This window comes from Homo sapiens, chromosome 1, assembly GCF_000001405.40.
Source record: "Homo sapiens chromosome 1, GRCh38.p14 Primary Assembly".
Classification (NCBI taxonomy): Eukaryota; Metazoa; Chordata; class Mammalia; order Primates; family Hominidae; genus Homo; species Homo sapiens.
The window spans coordinates 30,621,333-30,643,562 of NC_000001.11; the positions used below are offsets into that span (position 1 = coordinate 30,621,333).

A 22,230-nucleotide genomic window follows, 5' to 3' on the forward strand; every position below is an offset into this window, starting at 1 on the left:
TGAATGATCTTAGTGTACAGTGTATGTTTTAGGAGCTGCCCTGAGTCCCTTTCAAAAGAACTGTGGTTTGATGAACAGGTGCCTCTCACCACATGTCCTTGAGTCACTTGTCACTCCTCCAGCCATCCCTTGTTCCCTTGACTCCCCCAGTGTCTACCTGTCTTGATCCCTCCTGCTGCCATGTGCTGCCTGTAACATTGGGTGGGCCTGGGAAGCATGGAAACAAGTAGGGGGGCTTGGGAACCCCCACTGCACTCCAGCCTGGGTGACAGAGACAGACTCTGTCTCAAAAAAAAAAAAGAAAAAGAAAATGGCCCAGCATTTTCTGAGACACCCAGTAGTGTGTGTGTGTCTGTGTGTGCGTCTGTGTGTGGTGTGTGTGTTATGTGTGGCATGTGGTGTGTGGTGTGTGTGTGTGAAGGGGAGAGGACGATGAGGCAGAAGAGGGAGTCTAGCCCAGTCACAGCAACCTTGATGCCCATGCTGAGGAGTGTGGTCTCATCTCATCCTACAAACACAGGGAGTGGGTGGGTTTCTGAAGCAGAACATGCACGGTCAGCTCTGCAGAGCCAGGTAACCCCTCCACTGAGCACTGGTTAATTCTTTATTCCATGTCCGGGGACATGGACTTTATTCCATGTCAGAGATCTAGAGGTGGCCCCTTAGTAGCCCCAGGGGAGTGTGGCCATGAGCTACCTTGGGGCTTCTTGCCTAAAGAACTTCCGGGGGAGATCAGTTCCAGGTCACCCCACCTTAGCTGATGGCATTAAGTGCAGAGATGCAGAGACTGTCCCCAGCCGGTCATCCGCATGGGCTCTGTCCAGAGGGCCATTCTGACTTGGATTCCCCCATGCCATCTGCTCTGCTGTAGCAAGTCCAGCCTTGGGGGCTGGTTCCTGATTAGGGACAATTCTTCAATAATTAAATGACTAAAAGGTTTCTGAGAATGTAAGGAGCAGAAGAACCAGGGGCTTAGAGTCAGGCAGACCTGTATTTGAGTCTCAGCTGAGCCATGTCCTTGGGCAGGTTTCACTTCACCTTCCTAACCTTCATTGCCTCCTTGCTAAAGTGAATGACGACTCCTCTCTCGCAGGGTTATGAGGTAAGTTCAAATGAAAGAACATGGGTAAGACAGCACAGCACCTGGGACACGGGAAACAATTAAAACATGGCCACTGCTGTTACTAAGTGAAGAGTAAAGATAAAGCAAGGATTGTCTTGGGAGAGACACTTCTTGCCTCTTTGTCCCTTTGGAAATTTCCAGTGGACTGCATGAGCCCATTAGATAATCTCTTATTCGTCTGAGAAAATAAAGCTTGACTGCAGAGAGCTTTATCTCCAAGAAGAAAAGAAAAATGAAGACATCCACACTGTGATAAACATAAAATTCATTTCTTTACACAAGAACCTGAGAGCAAAGGGGTGAAGGGCAGCCACTTGCAGTATCCCCAGCATTGCAGTATCCCCAGCACTGAGGACTGGACAGGCAGAGTCTACAATGTCCCCACAATAGCTACAAGAGAATGTCATCCTCCCATTGTCCAGATGAAAAACTGAGGCTGAAAGCAGTGACATCATTAAGTCTTTTGCCCAAAGTCAAACACAGATATGAATGCCAGAGCCAGGCTCCTTCCTTCCTATTTGAACTTCTTTGAACTACTTTGAACTTCTCGGGATTTCTTCTGCTGCCTTTTCTTTTCTTTTTGGCTCATTTCCTGCCATATACTGTATTGATCAAGTTTTTATTTCTTTTTATCCTCTATTGATTTGTAAGTGGTACATTCTATTTCTCTTCCTTCTTGGTTAACCTTTATATTTTAATAAGCACACTTGACTTAACACTGTGTAAAGCAAATCAATCTAGCTCCACTTCCTCTGAACAATACCCAGATCTCAGAACACATTGATTCTCACCCCTCTCCCATCTTAGTGTTGTGGTTGCTCCCTCCTTTGTGCCCCAAATTAGTTACATTGCTATTGTTGTTGTTATTGCTCCTGTGTGATGTAATCAATGCAAGTGCACCGATCCCTGCTCAGTGTGTCATCTGTGATCCACTCCTTTCCTCTCCCAGCAGTGTTCTCCCTGGAGTACGTCATGCGTCTGTTTTCTCAGCAAATCCTGTGAGTGATAACATCACTCAGACTTTGTCTGAAAATATCTTTCTTTCTCCCTCAATTTTAAATAATAGTTTAGCTGACCCTAGAATTCTACTTTTGAATTCTACTGCATTTCTCTTGGCCCTGAAAATATTACTCCATTGTTCTCTGGTCTCTATTGTTGCTGCTGGGAAGTCTGTTGTCAGTCTCACTGTCTTTCTTTAGGAGGTAATCAGGTCTTTCTCTGGTTGCCTTTTATAACCCAAACTTTTGAATGATGCATAACATACATACCAAAAAATGCCCAAATCATAAGTATTCAGCTGGATACATTTTCACAAAGTGAACATAAAGCATTACCAGCAAGCCCATTTGTAACCCCTCTCAGTAGCTATACCTCCGCCAAGGGTAACTGTTGTCCTGACTTAACAGGATAGCTTAGGTTAGCTTGTTTTTGAACTTTAAAAAAATAGAATAATGTACTCTATACTCTTTTATGTCTGGTTTCTTTCTCTCAATATTATACTTGTGATATCCACATACATGATATATAGTTTTGGTTTGTTCATTCTCATTGTTTAATATCCTATGAACATATTGTATTTATTTATCCATCCTGTTGTTAATCAACATTTGGTTAACTTCCAGTTTGGGGCTATAATAAATAACGATGCTATGAACATGATTGTACATGTCTTGCACATTTACAAGTAGAACTCATATGTCCTGGGATGGGATAGAATTTGCTGGGTCATAGAATATTTCTTTTCATTTTCTAGTTTTCTAAAGTGGAAGCTTAGTTTATTGATTTTAGATTTTTCTTCTTTCCTAATATAGGTGTGTAATGTTGTAAATTTGACCCTAAGCACCACTTTCTTTGCATCCTGAAAAATTTTTTAAGTTGTATTTTCATTTTCATTTAGTTCAAAATATTTTTAAATTTCTCTTAAGACTCCTTCTTTGGCCCATGTACTATCTAGAAATGTATTGTTTAGTTTCCAAATATTAGGGAATTTTTCAGCTTTCAGTTATTAATTTCTAGTTTAATTCCATTGTAGTCTAAGAATATACTTTGTACGATTTTCTTTTATAAAACGTTCATTAAAGCATGTTTTGTGGCCCAAAATGTGTTCTGTCTTGATGAATATTCCTTGTGAGTTTGAGAAGAATGTGTATTTTGCTGATATTGAAGGATGTGTTCTATCAATGTCAATTAGATCAAGTTGATTGACAGTGAAACATTATGAAGTCTTCTTTGTCTGAAATCATCATAGTATTCCAGCTTTCTTTTGACTAGTGTTAACATTATATATTTTTATCCATACCTTTACTTTTAACTGTCAGAGTCTTTACATTTAAAGTGGGTTTCTTACAGAAAACATGTAGGTTAGTCTTTGCTTTCTTATCCACTATCCACTATGACAATCTCTGTCTTTTAATTGATGTATTAAACTAATCTCATTTAAAGTGATTATTGATATATTTGACTTCATATCAACCATGTTTGTAGCTGTTTATATTTATTACCAGAGGCTTCCTTTTCTGCCTTCTCTAGTTTTAACTGAGCATTTCATATTACTCCATTTGATCCTCACTCAGTGTATCAATTACTTCTTTCTAAAAGAAAGATTAGTAGCTTCCCTCAAGTTCATAATATATACTTTTAACTAATCTGGGTCCACCTCCAAATAACACTATTCCACTTTACATATAGTACACCTGTCTTAGAGTATTCTCAATCCTTCTCTCCCATTCCTTGTGACAATGATGTCATTCATTTTATTTACCCATGTTATACTCACTGAATATATAGTTACTATTATTACTTTGAACCATTTAAACAAACAGTTCTAGATTAAGAATAAGAAAAATAATTACTTTTATCTTCATTTATTTTTTCTCCAACACTCTTCCTTTCTTCATATAGATCTAAGTTTCTGACCATATCATTTTATTCATGCCTAAAGAAAATATTTTAATATTTCTTGCAAAATTTTGGCACCCCAGAGACTGTGACACCCAAGGTGTTTCTCCATCCTCACATTAATTCACACTCAGCCTCCAGCAATTTGTCAAAATTGCCATTTATGTGTTCCTATCACTTTATGGCCCCAGCAGCTTCTGCTTCAAGCAGGGAGATCTCAGCTGTGCCTCTCTGAATTCACCTTTCTCTCATATTTTAGTGTGATGGTTTGCTCTGCAACCTCAGCTCTCTGAGGAAGCCAAGAAAAGTTGTGGATTTTCAGCTTGTCCAGCTTCTTCTTGTGAGAATGGGAATGACAATTTCCAATCTCTTCACATGTCAGATCTGAATTTATTTGTATTGCACCTGCTCAGATTCCTTTGGAAATTATGAATTCAGGTTTTTCATGTATTCTGTAAAATTTAATAAAGGTTTGTTGAAGCTTCTCATTGTCTCCTTCAGGTCTTTGAACTTCTCCACATTTTCCTTCTCTATTCCTTTCTGGATAATTTCCTATTGTCTATATCCTGGTAACTGATTATTTCACCAGTTCTACCTAATCTACTATTTAGTCTGCCCTTTAGGATTATTTTTTAATTGCAATAATTATAAATTTTATTTTTAGACTTTCTATTTTTTCTAATGTGCTTATTCTTTCTTATAGTGTCTTATTCTATTCCTGTGATTTTTATTTTTATGCTTTTAATCACTATATATATGTGTTTGTGTGTGTGTGTGTGTGTGTGTGTATATATATATATATATATATATATAAAATAGTTTCTATCAGAATTTTTCTATTACTTGAAGTTATTTGGTTTTTGGTGTTTTCTCTTTTTTAAGGCAGACTCTCACTCTGTCACCCAGGCTGGAGTGCAGTGGCATGATCTTGGCTCACTGCAACCTCCACCTCCTGGGTTCAAGCAATTCTCAGGCCTCAGCCTCCCGAATACCTGGAATTACAGGCATTCACCACCACACCCAGCTAATTTTTGTATTTTTAGTACAGACAGGGTTTCACCATGTTGGCCAGGCTGGTCTCAAACTCCTGGCCTCAAGTGATCTGCCTGCCTCAGCCTCCCAAAGTGCTGGGATTACAGGCGTGAGCCACTGTGCCTTGCTTTTGGGGGTTTTTATCTTCCTTATTTTCATAGCTATTAACTCTCATTCATTGTAAATAGTTTTCTCATTTGTTTTGAAATTTGGGATTTTGAGTTCATCTTCAGTAGGGCTGTATCTGTGAGAACCCAGTGCAGACTGCGCTTCCTGATCTGCTCTAGACTGGCTTCTACCAGATGCCTCAGAAGTTTCACCAGCCTATAACCAATTATAGGTAAATTGCCTAGTTTGGGAGTTTACAAAAAAAACTCTGTAGGCTGGGCACGGTGGCACACACCTGTAATCCCAGCACTTTGGGAGGCAGGCAGATCACAAGGTCGGGAGTTTGAGACCAGCCTGGCCAACATGGTGAAACCCCGTCTCTACTGAAAATACAAAAAATTAGCTAGGTGTGGTGGCACATACCTATAATCCCAGCTACTCGGGATGCTGAAGCAGGAGAATCTCTTGAACCCAGGAGGAGGAGGTTGTGGTGAGAGGAGATCACGCCATTGCAACTCCAGCCTGGGTGACAGAACAAGACACTGTCAAAAAAAAAAATCTGTAATATAAATTAAAGCCACAAGTAAACCCTGTAGTCACTATAACCCAAGGAGGTTCTCTGTCCTCTCATAGGCCAAGCAGAAACTGACAAGCTCCCCTTTTGTTTCCCAGATCTTGGGAATAAACTATTTTTCTGGTATACTCTATCACTGAGGTTCAGCCCTTTAATGCTCCCAGCTTTATACAACTCCTTGCATTGTACTCAAGACATCATCTCCTGTCCCTGGAAGACATTAAGCCCAAACCCTTAGCAGGGGACCAAGAGTGTTATGGGATCAACAGATTCATATGCCCACTGCTCAGTAACAGACCAATGCACTGAGACAGCAGGGATGCAGCAGAGAAAGAGTGTAATGATCACAGGGTACTCAGTGAGAAAATGGGAGGAGACTCTCAAATCCATCTCCGCAAAAAGTTACAGGCTGAGGTTTTTGAGAGGACCATGGAGGGTGAGGGGCTGGAAAATTGGGGTCATTGATTGATCAAGGTAAGGGGGATGAGATCATCAGGACATGGAAACTGCATTCTTTGGGGAGTCAGCTTCCTTCAGACCAGCTAGCACCAGTGTTTCATTAGTATATAGGATCTGAAAGAATATCTCAAAAGGAATATGTAACATTTCCTAATGTTCAATTTGTTATCTACAGAACAGTGCAGGGGAACTATCATCTTGTAACAGGGTCCATGTGATTCTGAGGCACCAAGCAGCAAACAACTTCAAGGAAGCAGGTCAGAGGGCAGCTGACCTAGCAGGTTAAGGCTGAACGTGCTGCAGGCTCAGTTTATTTTTCTTTCTTTCCCTCTCGTCTTCCCTGATTAATGTTATAAAGATTATAAGGATGGTTTCAAGAGTGTTAACCTTGCTAACACAGCCTGCAGCATGGCAGCTGCTACCCCAGTTCCCACACTCACTTCCTACTCTGCTGTCAGTTCCTCTCCATCCCCTGAGATCTCCCTTTCCATTTTTCTACATTTGATAAAACATTTCTAGAGCTTATGCAGGGAACATTTTCAGGAGCAGAAGTCAGAACCTGGTCTCTAGGTTGGAGCTAGCTCCTGCCCCACCAGCTCTTGCCCTACCCACCCTAGGCACATCTGGCTCAGAGTCTGAGGGTCCCAGGGGTCACCCAGGGCCGGTATCCAGGAGGAAGCTGGGTATATGAGTCTGGGCTCAGTGCACGGGGCTGGGGTGTGGACACAGATGTGAAGTCTAGCACATGTGCTGATTACCACCCTTGGGAATAGACAAGGATTGTGTGAGCAGGGACATAAACTTTTGTGTCTGAGGCCTGGATCAGTGACAAATGTGAATGTGAACTTATGGGGCACCAAATCCTGCTGCCTTTAGGAGTGGAACTAAAAGGATTCCTACAAGCCAAAGAAATGAGGCAGCTTGGGCCATGTCAATAGCCCAGGCTCTGGCATTGATGAGATATGTAACTTTGAGCAAGTCCTTTTTCCTCTCTGAGCCTCAGTTTCTTCATCCGTAAAGTGGGGATAATGCAGATCGCCTTCCAGAGTTGCTGTGAGGATCAGCTGGGATCACTCAGGTCCAGATATATCTACGGGCACATGAGGCGGGGGGGGGGCTCAATAAGTGCATAAGGAGCCCCTGCTTTGTGCTCAGAGGCAGGTCAAGGTGTGATCAAAAAGGTGATGTTTGAGTTGGGCCTTAAAGCATCAAACTTAACCAGGTGGGAAGTGTAGGGAAACACATTCCAGGCAAGGAACACAGTATGTGCAAAGGCTGGGGATGCCAAAGAGTGTGGAATGTTCCAGGAGCATTGAGGCATTCTGTGTAGCTGGTGGGGCAGGGGCAAGATGAGAGGAGGTATAAATTCCATGGACATCTAGGAAGAGTTTAAGGGATAAATAAATAGAGAAAAGTGATCCCACGGGTCATAGTTGGCCACACGCTGAGTTTGGATAAGAAAAACGGAGCTTCTGGGACAACAGCTACCAAGAAACTGAGGTATCTGCACTCAGAGGGGTCCGCCCTCAGCCAGGGAGCAAACCCTCGCTCTGTGTATGGCAGAAGAACCCTTCCTGCTCCTGAGAACACAGGATTCCATGTGGCTCTTCCATTCAGATGGATGCCGGAGATCTGGACAGAGTCCCAAGCAGGACTTGGGTGATTGCAGGGGTGGAATCAGCTGGCCTCACAAGAGGGAGCAATGATTTTATTTATCATCTGAATTAATTACTAATAAGTATCATAGCTGACATCTATGGAGGAATTTCTATGTGCCAGGCACTGTTCTGTATATGAGCTTGTTTATTCCATATGACAAGTTCATGATGTAAATGTCATTATTATCCTCATTTTACAGAAGAGGAACTGAGGCACAGAGAAGCTGAGTTGACTAGAGGAAAGGGAGGAGGGCAGGGTGTGTGGCACAGATGTGGGAGTCAGGCAGGAGGAGTTCAGGTGTCTGTCTAGCCCCTCACCAGCTGTGTGGCCTTGAAAAAGTGACTGGTTTCTGAGCCTCAGAAACGGAGAGATAGAATATGACATCCGCAGGACCACAGGTGTGGTAGGGACTGCAGAGATGAGAGTGTTCCATACCTCCCTGAAGCAAGGGTCAGCACAAAGCCAATTGTGGGGGTCAGAACTGGGGTCAGCGCCAAGCCAACTGTTAGGGTCAGAGCTGGAATCAGCACCAAGCCAACTGGCAGGGTCAACATGTCGGGTCAGAGATGCCCAGAGGAGGATATGGGACCCTTAGTGAGAAAGAGGTTGACTGAGCTGCCTTTTGCAAGCTTCACTGGGGACCTGTTTCCAGCATCACTTTTGGAGTCCGTGCCCCATCTGGCCAAGAACAGTGGGTACTCAATGCTAGCCCTAAAGCCTTTCAGCAGAGGAGCTGAGCTCCCACTGCTGGAGGCTGGACTTCCAGATGCAAGCATCTCTTTGATTACTTTTTAATGAAAAACAGATTTGAATCTAAACTGAAATTATATTGTCAGCAGTTAATTATCACTTGTCAAACAACTGTGTGCCCAGATTGCAGGTTTAATTTCCATATAGGTTTGCAAAATCCTCGTTCCTCTTATTTGATGAGGGCTCTCTGAGTAAGAGACACTCATTATTGAGATTTTTACTTTTTTTTTTTAGCAGTTTGTTGTTGTTGTTTTGTTTTTTTAATAAGTAGATTTCTTTGACATCTGTGTCTAAGGCTCTTTGCAAATAACAGGAAAAAAACACTCAATGATGTAATTTAAACAAAGAAAACTTGGAGAGGGGTGGGGGACCAGGCTCCAAAGGTATCTCTGAGAACTCAGACACCTAACACAGGCCTGGAACAAGGAGTTGAAACTCCCCACTGGGACAACCACAGCTGCTCTGCCCACCCTTCTCTCGGGGGCTCATGATCTCTCATCTCAGGTTTGTGCATCTGTTTCAATCCTCTCCTTCTTCTTGGCATCTCTTCTGATGGTGAAGAAATGGCCACCCCTCCTCTTTGAATAGGTGGCACACCATCTTGGTTGAGGACCTAAAAGACCTGAGTGCAAGTCCTGCCCTGACTCGCCAGTGCTCTTGGGCCAGTCCCTTATCCCCACAGAGCCACAACCTTGTGTGTGAAATGAGGCCAGTACCTGCCTTGCCGATGTGTTTTACGGATGAAATGGCACCATCTAAGTAAAGCGCTTTGCACCTTCACAGTCTCATGGTGGGTTTTGGAAGGAAGGGTACCTGTGACTGCTTTTGTAGCTGTAGTGGCCATTATAATAGTAACAACAATACAGCCTCCTGAGCAGAGTGGAAGCCTGATGTGGTTTGGCTGTGACCACACCCAAATCTCACTTTGAATTGTAATAATCTCCACGTGCCAAGGGTGGGGCCAGGTGGAGATAATTCAATCATGGGGGGACGGTTTCTGCCATACTGTTCTCATAGCAGTGAATAAGACTCATAAGATCTGAAAATTTTATAAAGGGGAGTTCCCCTGCACAAGCTCTCTCTTGCCTGCTGCCATGTAAAATGTGTCTTGCTTCCCCTTCGCCTTCCACCATGACTATGAGGCCTCCTCAGGCATGTGGAACTGTGAGTCCATATAAACCTCTTCCCTTTATAAATTACCCAGTCTCAGGTATGTCATCTTTATTAGCAGCATGAGAACAGACTGGGGAGACAGAGATAGAAGATGCCACTGTCTCTTAGACTGTCTCTTAGATCCTCACTGAATTACCAAGAAACCAGAGCAGGTGCTGTGTGATCTCAGCCCTGAGCCACGAGCCTCAGTTTCCTTGCCTGCAAGGTGGGGATAGTCAGGTCTACCTGGCAGCATCACTGCAGAGACAAAATGAGGTAACAGTGTCTGGCATGCAATAGATGCTCAATAAACCCTCCTTTGTTTTCTGGCCCGGGGTCTTGACCATAAGATGGAACAGTGAGTACCCAATGAACAGAGAAAGAAAGGAGAATAAATCAATGATGATTTTCTAATGGGACCATAAATCACATCACAGCTCAGCTTAGAATCCTCTCTGAGGCCTGGAACTGGAAGCTGGAAATTTTTTTAATTTTATCCCTTTGTTATTTGGCTGATATCTATTTTCTCCAGTTAAACTGGAAGCTACATCAAGCCAAGAACTGAGTTTCTGGTCATGATTCTCTCTCAAGCACCTGGAACGGCATGTGGCACATGGAAAACATCACAAATACATTGAATGAATGAATGAGACAATACAAGTACTCATCTCAGCACCCGGAGCGGTCCATGTTCTCAGTAAACATTATGCATGATCACCACCAACTTTCTAGAGCTAGGCATGACTGAACCTCAAGGTGGGGATAGGAGAAGATGCCAAGGATGGTGCAGGCAGGGTGGAAGAAGTTGGCCAGCTGCCAGGTCTGAGGGTGAAGGAGACTAGGAGGAGGCTTAGGGAGAGGAAGGGGTGGGTCTCCAGTTGTGGGGAGTTAATGCAAGGGAGTGACTCTGTGGTGCAGTACAAAGACCAGGTCTAAGAACAAGGACCCTGGGCCCAGCTCCATAGAATGAGACCAAGCACCTGCTCTCAGGCCTCAGTTTCTCCATATACACAGTCTCTGCAGCACCCCCAGCCCCAAAAGCCCTGAGTTTGTAATGAACATAGCAGCCCAAGTGCATTTTCAGCCAGAGCACAGAACTGCAGGGATCTGGAGTGATCCATGTTGGCCAAGGAGCCAGAGAGGGCAGTGTCTATGCCTGTCAGCTTCAGGGCATCTGTGGGGAGGGCAGGGCGAGGGCTTGGGGTAGGGGGCTGGTCAGCGCTGGAGGCAGAATCCATGCTCATCTCCCGGGAAAGTGAGGGTGGTGGCACCAGACTGGATTTGTAGATCTCATGGTCTCCAGTCTGGTCAACTCCACTGTCACCATCTCCCTCCACAGGGTTGAGGCAGGGAGCATCCCAGGGCCACGGATGCACACACACCCCCACTCCCTTTGCCTCTCCCTTTGGGGGGCAGCCTTGACCCCATCTCTGACTCTGGTTTCCTGACTTCCTTAGCCATGTCCGTGATTGAGCTGAGCCATGTCAGACACCAGGTCAATAACCACGGATGAGTTCATAGGAAGATACGTTACTTAATATGAGCCAGTCAGAGCAAAGCCCAGGACTTCTCCATTCTGGTTGGGAGACACGACGCGTTCTGCTAAATGGGAAGGAGGAAATACATCACCCAAGTTGATGCTGCAACCACAAGAGAAGACAGACTGAAGATGAAGTTGATACTCTGGGAGGGAGAGCAGATCACTGAAAAAATGCTGAGTCCTTGGTCACACAATCGGGTTTCTAGATCAGTCCTTGTCTGAGACCCAATCCAATTCTAGGCTTTATAGTTTAAGCTAGTGCATGTTGGATTTTCTGTTCCCTGAACTGAGCCTCAGCTCATGCTTCTGTAACAGGAAGAAGCCATTCCCTGTAGGCTCTGTTCTTCTCTGGCTCCATGGGGATTAAATGACATCAGAATCCCAGGAGCCAGCAGGTGCCCCAAGCCCCTGAACAAAAAACCTTCAAGAAGTGAAATTCAGGGAGTAGAATCAGGTATCAGTGTAGAATCCATTCATTCTTTCATTCATTCATTCAACCAGTAAAAGTTAAGCAGCTAATATGTTCCAGGCCCTGTGCAAGGTGCAGGGTTGACCTCCAAGGGAAATAAGATGGACAAAAGGAACACAAAAAATAAAGAAGGAAATCAGTAAATAAACAAGACAATTTCAGAGGGTGCAAAGTGCTTGAAGAAAATTAAACAGACAATGTGATAACAACTCAGGTGTTGGGGAGCAGATGCTTTGACCTGGGGGAACCAGGGAAGGCCACCTGGAACAGGTAGCATTTGGGCTGAAACCTAATGATGAAGAGGCGCACTCATGCTAAGATCTAAGACAGAGCACTCCCAAAAGAAAGAACAGCAAGTGCAAAGGGCCCGAGGCAGGCACAAGCTTGTTCTGTTCAGAAAAAAATAAAAGGACAGTGGAGCTGACTCATGTTAGACTGAATAAGTTTTGAGAGCTGTGTATTATAAGCCAGTCACTAATCTAAGCACTTTGCTTGTGTTAACTAGCTTAATCTTCTCAACAAACCCACAAGATACGCCTCATTATCCCCATTTTACAGACGCTGATTATGAGGTTTAGAGAGATTTATTAATTAGCTTACAGTCCAAGAGCTAGTAAATGGCAGAGGTTGGACTTGAACCAGGGTTTATCGATGCCAGAGCCGGTGTTCTCAACCACTACCCTACACCACCTCCTTTGGGGAATGATGGTGACAGCCTTTCTGCGGGCTCCTGTGAGCTCACTGTGGCCTCCCTTGGCTCCTTACCCAGACAAGGGCCTTCTCACCACCTTCAGCCTCATGGTAAGCTTAGTGTGCAGGCCGAGTCCCTGGCAGGGAGGGCTGCTGTCTGGGGAGAAACCGTTCAATACTTGAGACCGTTACCAACTCACCATCACGCTTCCTCTGTGCTGTGTCCTCCAAGCAGCTTCACCAGTAATGAAGGGAATTTTTTTTAATCTGCCTGACTCCTGTGTCTTTGTTTCCATTTGTTCCAAACTTGGGTGGGAAGGAGAAATGCCATGTATCGGCCCCTCAGTGAAGACAAGGAGGGTATAGCAGGGCTTCAGGTGAGAACTGAGAGGGGTCACACAGGGTCATGGCAGTGGGCGCAAACAAAGTAGGTCACTAGAGGGGAATCTAAGAGGAGAAACGGAGTGGATTGTGTGGGGTGTGCATGCATATGTGTGTGCACACGGGATGAATGTGTGCCTGCGTGCTTGTGTGCACATGGGTGTGTGTGAGTGGTGTGCATCTCTGTGTCTGTATGTGTCTGTGTGTGCCTGTATGTTTGTGTTTGACTCATGTGTCTCTGTGTCTATATGTGTCTGTATGAATCTGTGAGTGCAAATGTGTGTGTGTGTGTGTGCATGTGAGATGTGTGCCTATGTGCTTATGTGTGCATTGGTGTGTATGAGGGGTATGTATGTATGTGTCTGTGTGAATCTGTGTGTGCCTCTATGTGTGTGTGTGTGCATGCACATGGGGTGAATGTGTGCCGGTGTGCTTGTGTCTGTATGAATGTTTGTGTGTGAGTCGTGTTTGTGTCTGTGTGTCTGTATGTCTCCGTGTGAATCTGTGTGTGCCTGTGTTTGTGTGTGTGTGTGTGTGTGTGTGTGTGCACGCATGTGGGATGAATGTGTACCCATATGCTTATGTGTGCATTGGTGTGTGTGAGTGGTGTGTATGTGTCTGTGTGTGTCTGTGAATCTGTGTGTGCATGTGTATGTATGAGTGTGTGCATGTGTGTGTATACATTGAATGAACGTGTGCTGGTGTGCTTGTGTCTGTGTGTTTGTGTGTGAGTCATGCATGTGTCTGTGTGAATCTGTGTGTGCCTGTGTGTGTGTCTGTGTGTGTGCACATGGGGTGAATGTGTGCCTGTGTCCTTGTGTGTGAATGGGCGTCTGTGTGTATCTGTGTGTGTCTGTACATGTCTGCGTGTGCTGTGCACATATGTGCACACCTGCATGCACATACGGAGGATTCTGGGTGAAGCCACAGGGCTCACTAAAGCCGTGGACCCAGAAAACCCCCAACTCTAGGCTCGAGGCCCCAGTCCAGTGCTCTCTCCACTGCCCATGCTGCCCCCATTATGGTGATCAAGGAGGGCTCTCCACCTCCGCCCCCACCCAGACCACCTTTCTCTCCATCTCCAGCTGTAATGGACATAAATGCTGCTCTAATTTCTCATCACTTCCTGCAATTTGCAAAATGGTTTCTTTGGTTTTTACAAAATGGGCTACAATGTCGCCTCTGCTCCCCTCCTTCCTTTTTCTGTTGTCTTGTCGTTAAGCAAAGGGAAGAATAACAAGTGATCAAGTATCATGAAGAAGAAAGGCAGCCGCGGAGCCTGAGGGAGATTACAGGGAAATGATGTGAGCAATCATTTAAGCAAATTCTATTTTAACTAAGATGAGTTCAGTCCACTTCCTAATGCACCAGCCCCACCATGTCCTGTGATCCATGCTGGGTAAGGACGGCATGTGACCCAATTACTCACGACTGCTGGGTGACCCGTCCAGCTCCACCACACATGTCAGGCTCATCTGCAGATGGCCTATGGCCTCTGGTTCCATTCTGATTGTCCAGGCAGCTGTGAGCAGAGCAGCCAGACGTTGTTCCCATCCTCCAGCAAATGCAGGGTTTGTTCCACACTGGCCCATGTCCTGTCCCCTGTCCCTGTCATTCCCTCCCTCACCCCACAGGGACCTCTTGCCTCCCAGCATCCTCAACAGATCCCCAAAGAGGCCGGGTCCCCAGTATGCTTAAGCACCTGCTGGATACTAAGTACAGAGCTCAGCGCCAGGTATGGGTAACTAAGGAAGACACAGGCTGTGCCCCATGGGTTTCCAGTCAACAGGACTGGCTAGATTAAAGCAGTAACTGCATGAAGAACCAGGTGTCATGAGATGAGGGCTAACAGGGGACCTGCACTCTTGAGGGAGGTGAGGTGGGCTTCCCACAGGAGACCTGAACGATGCATAGGAGTCAACCAGGTGAGATGTCATGGAGGATGCTCCAGGCAGAGGGAACAACATGGGCAAAGGCTCAGAGGTTTGAGTTGCAGAACACCTGTGTGACTGCATCATTCTGAAAGGGGAACTGTGTCAGGTGCTGAGGCTGTGGAGGTGGCAGAGCCAGGTCATGCTGGCTTTAAGGCTTCTCAGAGCTGGTGACATTGAAAAGAGGGAGTGTGGCAGATGTAGGGAGAGCTTCCAGCTGAGGAAAGCATAGGGCAGAGCCTGGAGGCAGGAACTGCAAAGGCCCTGGTCCAGGAAAGATCTGGTGGGGCTGGAGGGGAATGGATGGCAGGTCAGGTGGGCCAAGGGGTGACAGGGCTGGAGACTGTGGGGGGATGAGGCTGGACTCTGCAGGCCAGGGTCACTGTCAGCTTGGATGCACCCCAGTGAGGCAGGAGCCCCAGGCCTTCAGAGCAGAGCAGAGATAGCTCCACCCTGAGTCTCACCAAGGTATGAGGGCTGCTGCAGGGAGAGTGGGTGGAGCCGGGACAGGGGCAGGAACCTGTCAGGATGCTACTGCACCAGTCCAAGTATGATGACGGGGCAACCAGGGAGAGAGCCTGGAGAGGGAGAGGAGATATAGGGTCTGGTTTATGGAGGGAGGGGTGGTTTGTAGAAATAGGTCTCCTTATGTTGCCTAGGCTGGTCTCAAACTCCTGGACTCAAGCAATCCTCCTGCCTCGGCCTCCGAAAGTGTTGGGACTGCAGGTGTGAGCCACCACAGCCGGCCCTGGCTTTACATTAAAGTCAAGCCAACAAGACCTGAGAATTATTCACTCCATAAATACTTGGTATTATTAGTTTTTAAATTTTCGTACTATTTCACTCAGCATCTCCCTATAGAAATCTTTTCTAACAAAATAGAAATTTAGAGGAAGATTTAAGAATGAAGCTAGCCACAGCAGTGTAATTTATGGCAGTAAAAAAAAAAAAAAAAAAAAAAAAACAGAAACTTCAAATTTCAAAAGCAGGAGTTTAGGAGGACCATTAATCACGTGGACAATTTCCACAAACATACAACGCAATAGGAAACTCATCAGCCTGGAGTGTCAGGCAGGAAAGCCTCAGATCCGTATCTGCACATGGGAGGGCACAGCTGGGTCTACCAGTGTCCACTTCTTTTTCTGGGCCCACAGGGAAACAGCATCTCCCGTGGCCTTCACGTCAGGGTGGCCATGAGACTTGCATTGGCCAATCAAGTGTGAATAGAGGCAGCGAGTGTACCTTCCAGGTGGGAGCATCTATGAGTCAGCGCTCAGCTCCCCTGTCCTCCTTCCCTGTCACAGTGACTGAAGAAGCACATGTGGAGATGTTGACATCCTCAGACAGTGGAGCCTCCATCAGTGACAGTCCCTGCTGTCTGTGATGCCTCCCTGCCAGTCAGAGGGGACATGTAGTAAGAGCAAGAAATTACCTTTGTTGTTTCGGGGGGTTGTTTTTGTGCCATATCCTAGACTATCCTGACAGCCACACCAATGTGAAAGCAATTATGAAAATAGATGCTAGTATAAGAAGAGAAAAGGGAATGAAAAACAAGGTATTAATAGGGGAGTACTACGAGTACTTTGGGAGGCAAGATACCAGATGAGTTATATACTCTCTTACATAAATGTCTGCACTTGCCAAATGCTTCACAGTAAGAATGCATGGCTGTGTCAAGGGGAAAGATCAATGTTATTAACAAGAACACCTGGGCCCCGGCCAAGGCCGTCCTCACCCCGGGCTGCATTTTTCTTTCCTTCATCTCGGGCTCCTGGTCCACTTAGCTTTTGTCCCCTGCAATTATCCCTTTATTATAGACCATTTTGTTCTCTAATTGTCTGCCCTGCATAATGTAGCATAATCATATTCCGTCTTGTTCTCAGATATCTAATTTCGTGTCCCTTGGCCTCAGTTTCTTCATCTCTAAGTGCAGTGGTGGCAGAAAGGGAGATCCTGAGATGCTCCTGAGTGCCGCTGCTCCTTCAGGGCTGGGAGGGATGAAAGCGCCCTAGCAAGCTATGCTGCTTTACAGATGAGAATCCAAGGCGGAGAAGTGGGGAAATTTGCCCAAAGTTTCACCCCCAAGTGAGTCCTGAAAGTGCAATTTGAGCTCTGGAATCTGGCTTCAGCCGAGGTACCCTCATCATATCCTCACAATATCCTTATGTGGTCAGTATTATGTGCCCATTTTACAGGTGGAAAAACTGATGAGGCTCACAGAGGTTCAGCCACTTGCCTAAGTCACACATTGAGTGAGTGCTGGAGGCTGAATCTGTATGTGGGGTCCAGGGTCTGTTCTGTTCTCACTGCTCAAATGGTGAGCGGTCCAGGTGTGGCCAGCACCCTCAAGGTGCAGGAGTTGACCACCCAGGTGCACTTGGGGCTGGAGAAATCACCAGCCCCAACACAATAGCAATAAGAAGGAGAACAGCCCTTGTCCCTGCAGCATGTGCTGGTGGTTGCTAAGCCCGTGACATGCATGATCTCTCTGATTCTGGCCCCACCCCATAAGGCAGATGCTGTGATTACCAACTCACACGTGAGGGAACCGAGCTCAGAGAGTGAGGTTAACTTACCCAAGGTCTTATAGCAAAATAGTGGCAGAACCCAGGCTGGAACCCGAGGCCTATGGTCTAACCAGCAGCCACACTGCCTCCCTCCACCTGTGCCTGGGCTTGGAGACCACTGATGGGATCAAGCTTTCCCTTATCTGGTCAGGATCTGGAATGAGAATGCAGAAGCCCCACAGAGGTGAGCGCAAGGGCTCCAGGTTTGGAAAAGGGAGGAGGGAGCCTGGACCACAAACGGCCACCATGCCGGGGGCCTGGAAGCCAGGCCTGCCATGGGCAGAGAGGGATAGCACTGTCTGCCCACGTAAGCCTGGAGGAAGTCACTGTGTCACCTTGTCATTGAGGCCAATGCCATTATCTGGGCTGACCAGGGCCTATCAGGCATAGCTGGGGTGACTGGCAGCTCTTCAGCGGGCAAGGCCCTGACTCACCATGAGTCCCAAATCCAGCAGGAGTTTATCACCCAACCTAATTGTTCTAATTGCCATTGTCATGGCTGATAACATTAGGTGACAGCCACAGCCATAAACTCAGAAAGTCTGAAGTGGGCCCCGGAGAAGGGAGAGGCCTTGAATGGTTTGGAGGGAGCTTAAAAGGGGAGCAGTGCAGTAACTTGAAGCCCTGGGCAGACTCAGGCTGGGGGCAGTCACAGAGTCACAGAGATTACACTCACCAAAGGTGGGAGTTAGAGACTATTGAACACAGTGAAAGAAGAAGTTTTGGTTGTCGGACAGAGAGATGCATGACACTAAGAGAGTAGAATTGTCAAGATCACAAAGTAAGGGTCACAAAACAGCAGAATGCCAGGTGTGAGCATGGTACACTATTGAGATGCTTAGAACATGGCAGAACCTTGGACACAGCTTGTCAGCATCTTGGGCTTAGGAGGCCAGAGTGGTGTGAGGAGCCAATAGGAGAGGCTTCCAGAGAGGCCTGGATCTAAGTCTTGGTTCTGCCAATGATTAGCTCTGGGACCACTGCCTTGCTCCATCTAAAAACTGGGGAAATTAAGCCCCCCTCATGGAGTAGGTGAACCTGAAATGGCAAGATGGGTGGGTGGTGCTTAGCAGCTAAGCACTGGGTATGAAATAGGCATAGATGTTCTGTTGTATTTTACAAAGAGTATACGATTGGGGTGTGTTGGGGGTCAGGGTGGCAGGGCTGGAAGTAATCCTCGGAAATCACACAAACTGTAGACTAGGGCACTCACTGCATGCTTCCCGTTGGAATTACCTGGGAGTTTTAAATCATGGATTCAAAAGGGCCCCTGAGACAAGGCTGTGTACAGGAGCGGCCCTGCCATGGGGCCCCAGCTCCCTTATTCTCTCCATATTGACCCTGTAGGCAAGACTGAACTGCCACTGATCCAAGTCTTGGCAGAATGCCCGTGAACCCTGGGAACATGAGAGTGGCTGCCTTAGGGTGCAGATGCAGGCTGTTGACTGCTTAGCCACAGCACGGATCAGCTTCTCAGCAACAGATCACCCCACTGCCCACGTCGCGGTGTCATCGGGCCCCCTCTGTGTTCAGGTCATCCCGTGGGCCATGGGACATGGGGGGCTGTCACTTTGCTGACCTTGCTTTTACTGGCTATTCAAGTCATAAGCTGCCTGAATCTAAAGAGAGCTCAGTTTTTGTTTGTTGTTTCTTTACCGACCAAATCTATCCCCTTCCTTAGGAAGCCATGTCTGTTTTGCTGTCTTTTGCATCCCTAGCGTTTAGAACAGAACCGAGCGTGTAGTAGATGCTCAACAAATATTTACTGAGTAGATAAACAAAGCACTGAAGCTTAAGAGGCAGGAGCAGTGGCAGCTGTAGCCTTGGAGGAAGTTAAAATCCTCACGCTGTGAGCCCTGCACCTCCATTTCCCAGTTGTGAAATGGGGTCTCGGCACCAGCCTGTGTCACAGAGAATGACCTACAGTGTGGCTTTGCAGGGAAATCTGTTGTTTAATCAAATCCCATTCAGTCGGTCCTGCCAGGGGTTCCCAAAGGGAAGTGGAGCAATGGTGGGGCAGAGTGAGGTGAGGTCTGATCCGGGAGATTCCACAGGCTGGGATAAGGGAGTTTGGATTTTTCCACCAAGCAATAAGGAGCTGTTGGTGTCTCTGAGCAGGGCAGGGTTGAGAATCTGAGGAACCCCTGGGAGGGTGCTTGTTGGGGATGCAGCTGGCAGCTTAGCCTAGACCGGCTGATCTGAGCCTCAGGGGCCGGCACATGGCAGTCCATCTTTTTAAACCTCCCCAGATGATGCTAATGAAGCCAAATCTCAGGTCAACATTTGGCAACTGTCACTATGGCTGATTCTTCTAAATTCTGCTAGGGATCATTTCAGCCAGGGAGGGACAGGAAGGGAAGTGGAGGGAAGGATGAGGCAGGTTTCTCACCGAAAGTATCATTTTGATAAAGGAGAAGCAACCTGGTCCCTGCTGGTGACAAAAACATTGCTTTGGATCCACTGAAATTGCTGTCTTTACATGTCAAAATGGTTATCTGTCAGCTATTTTATGTGATGGTTATACCAAATAGGTCCATTTCTGCTGTTGCTAAATTTGTTTATACTGAGGGAGTCAGAAATAGCTGAGCCCCTGGGAAATGAATCTTTTCTGATAGGGTCCCCATCTGATGACAGACCATCACCCTAAGAGGACTGAGTCTGTGTCATCCCCACCCCTCTTCCCCTGTCCCCAGTACTGGGTTCTCAGCCTCTGCCCAGAACCTGGGAGTGGGGGTTTCATTCCTCCCGTCCCCAGGGGGAAGGGAGCTGCTCCCCACTGCTCCCTAATGCAGCTCATCTGTCCTCGTCTCCACCCATGAGGCCTGGCAGTCTGCTCCCACCCCCCGCCCCCGCCAGCCTCTCCTTCCCTGAGCCCGCGCTCTGCTCCACGCAGGCTTGGTTCAGATCCTCCAAGTCACTGCACCTCTCCTGCTTCAGAGCCCTCACACATGCTGTTTCCTCTGCCTGAATCCACTGCCCCCCCAACCTTCACAAACTAGGAATCCAAGAGCGCCAGGAAGGCTGACAAGGACAGCAATTCGGCAGTTCTGCATGGGGCCAATAGCAGTGACAGCGGAGGCTTCCCCAGCAGAGCTGGGCTGCAGGCTTCGGGTCCCACTTGGTGCCCAAGCTCACATTATGGTGCTGGGGAGAGACCTCAAGCAGCTGTTAAACTGTGGTGTGCCCGTGGGTGTATAATTGTGGAAGTGGGTTTTGCATATTTTGATAAATTTATAAATATGGAATGTAATTATCCCTCATTAGCATATGCTTATGTTCTACATAATTGTATCCTGTTTCACAAAAAAGTGCGAGTTGCCAGTTCACAACCAAGACACGGTGTCACCAGCTTGACCGTCGTGCGTCCCCACCACTGCTGACACAGAATGTATCCATTCATCATCCTGGGCAGGAGGGCCACCGAGACAGTGGCAAATCTCCCCATGTCACAGGCAGGTCTAGGGCTCTGGAGCCCAGGGAGGGACAGACAACAGGGTTGGGAGAGCAATCGGCCCAGCCACTGGCCTGGATCCAGGGTGGAAAGGGGTCACCTGGGCAACTGCCTGTGCCAGGGTCCTGCAGTAGGTCAGAGCATAGCAGCTGGAATCTGAGCACCCTGGAGCCCCACCTGCCCTCACTCCACCTGGGTTCCCCTTCCTGAGCCTCGGTTTCCTCTGATGTAAAATGAGGATGAAAAGGGCTCTTTCCTTGGGCAGCTGTGAGGATTAAGTGAGCGAGTGCAAGTACACGGTCCCCAGCACGCGTAGGAAGTGCTCGCACCTATGAACTGATATTCCTGCTGTTGTCACCCCCAGGACTGCTACAGAGAGGGCACCACGGGCCACTTTACAGATGAGCCTCATCCCCACAATAGCTGACAGGTGTTAACACCCCCACGAGCCGGACACCTGCACACACGACCCACGTCACCTGCACGACCTTGCACGACCTCCCTATGCAGCAGGTGCTGTCGTGGTCCCCACTCCACAGGGGAGGAGGTCGAGTGCTTCCCAGATCACACAGCCCACAGGGGTGGAGGCTCAGAGACAGGCTTTCTGTCTCTACCCCAGACCCCCCATTGCACTTGTCAGCAAACTCTGACAAGAGTTTGGCTTTCTGAGGACAGAAAGCACGGCTCTGAGCCTCCACCCCTGCGGGCTGTGTGATCTGGGAAGCATTCAACTTCCTCCCATGTGGAGCGGGGACCATGACAGCACCTGCTGCATAGGGAGGTCGTGCAGGTGATGTGGGTCGTGTGTGCAGGTGCCCGGCTCATGGGGGTGTTAACACCCATCACCGTGGGGCTGCCCCCCAGCAACCATGCCCCTCCTCCACTCACAAAACCCTGGGGTTTATTCTGTAGCCCTATAGGCTCAGACCTGAGGGACCCTCCAGCCCTGGGGTGAAGCTGAGCCAGGCACTCCATTCCCCTTCTCCAGAGATTGTTTTAGGCGTGAGCACACAACCTAGACCTGGCCATTGGGTTGAGAGAGGAAATTTGCTCTTGGGTAACAACTGCTTTTAGGAAGCATCCCTTTCTGCCCCTGCCTCCTCCTTTGAATGCGGTCATGAGGGCACTTGATGTCTGGTTGTGGCAGCCATCTTGCAACCATGAGGCAACAAGCTATGGATTAAAAAGCCTGCATAGCCAAAGATGGTAAAGAGGGAAGAAGTATTTGTTGACATCCCGGAGCATCTGACCAAGCGGGAACCACCTTCCTCTAGAACAGGGGCCAGCAAACATACTCTGTGAAGGGAAAGATAGTAAACACTTTAGACTTTGTGAGCCAAGAGACAAAATCAAGGATATAATGTAAGTATTAATTTAATAAGAGAAAAAACAAATTTCCACAAATTTCATCAAAATGTATTGATCAAATTCAAAATATAACAATCA

At 47.2% G+C, this 22,230-nt stretch overlaps 1 annotated feature.

Moving 5' to 3' along the window:
* Positions 20,251-20,751: an enhancer, noted in NCBI's record as "H3K4me1 hESC enhancer chr1:31114430-31114930 (GRCh37/hg19 assembly coordinates)". NCBI's record gives its function as "activates a minimal SCP1, AML or CMV promoter by ChIP-STARR-seq in naive H9 embryonic stem cells {active_cell/tissue: H9 hESC(naive)}" and the evidence as "EXISTENCE:reporter gene assay evidence [ECO:0000049][PMID:30033119]".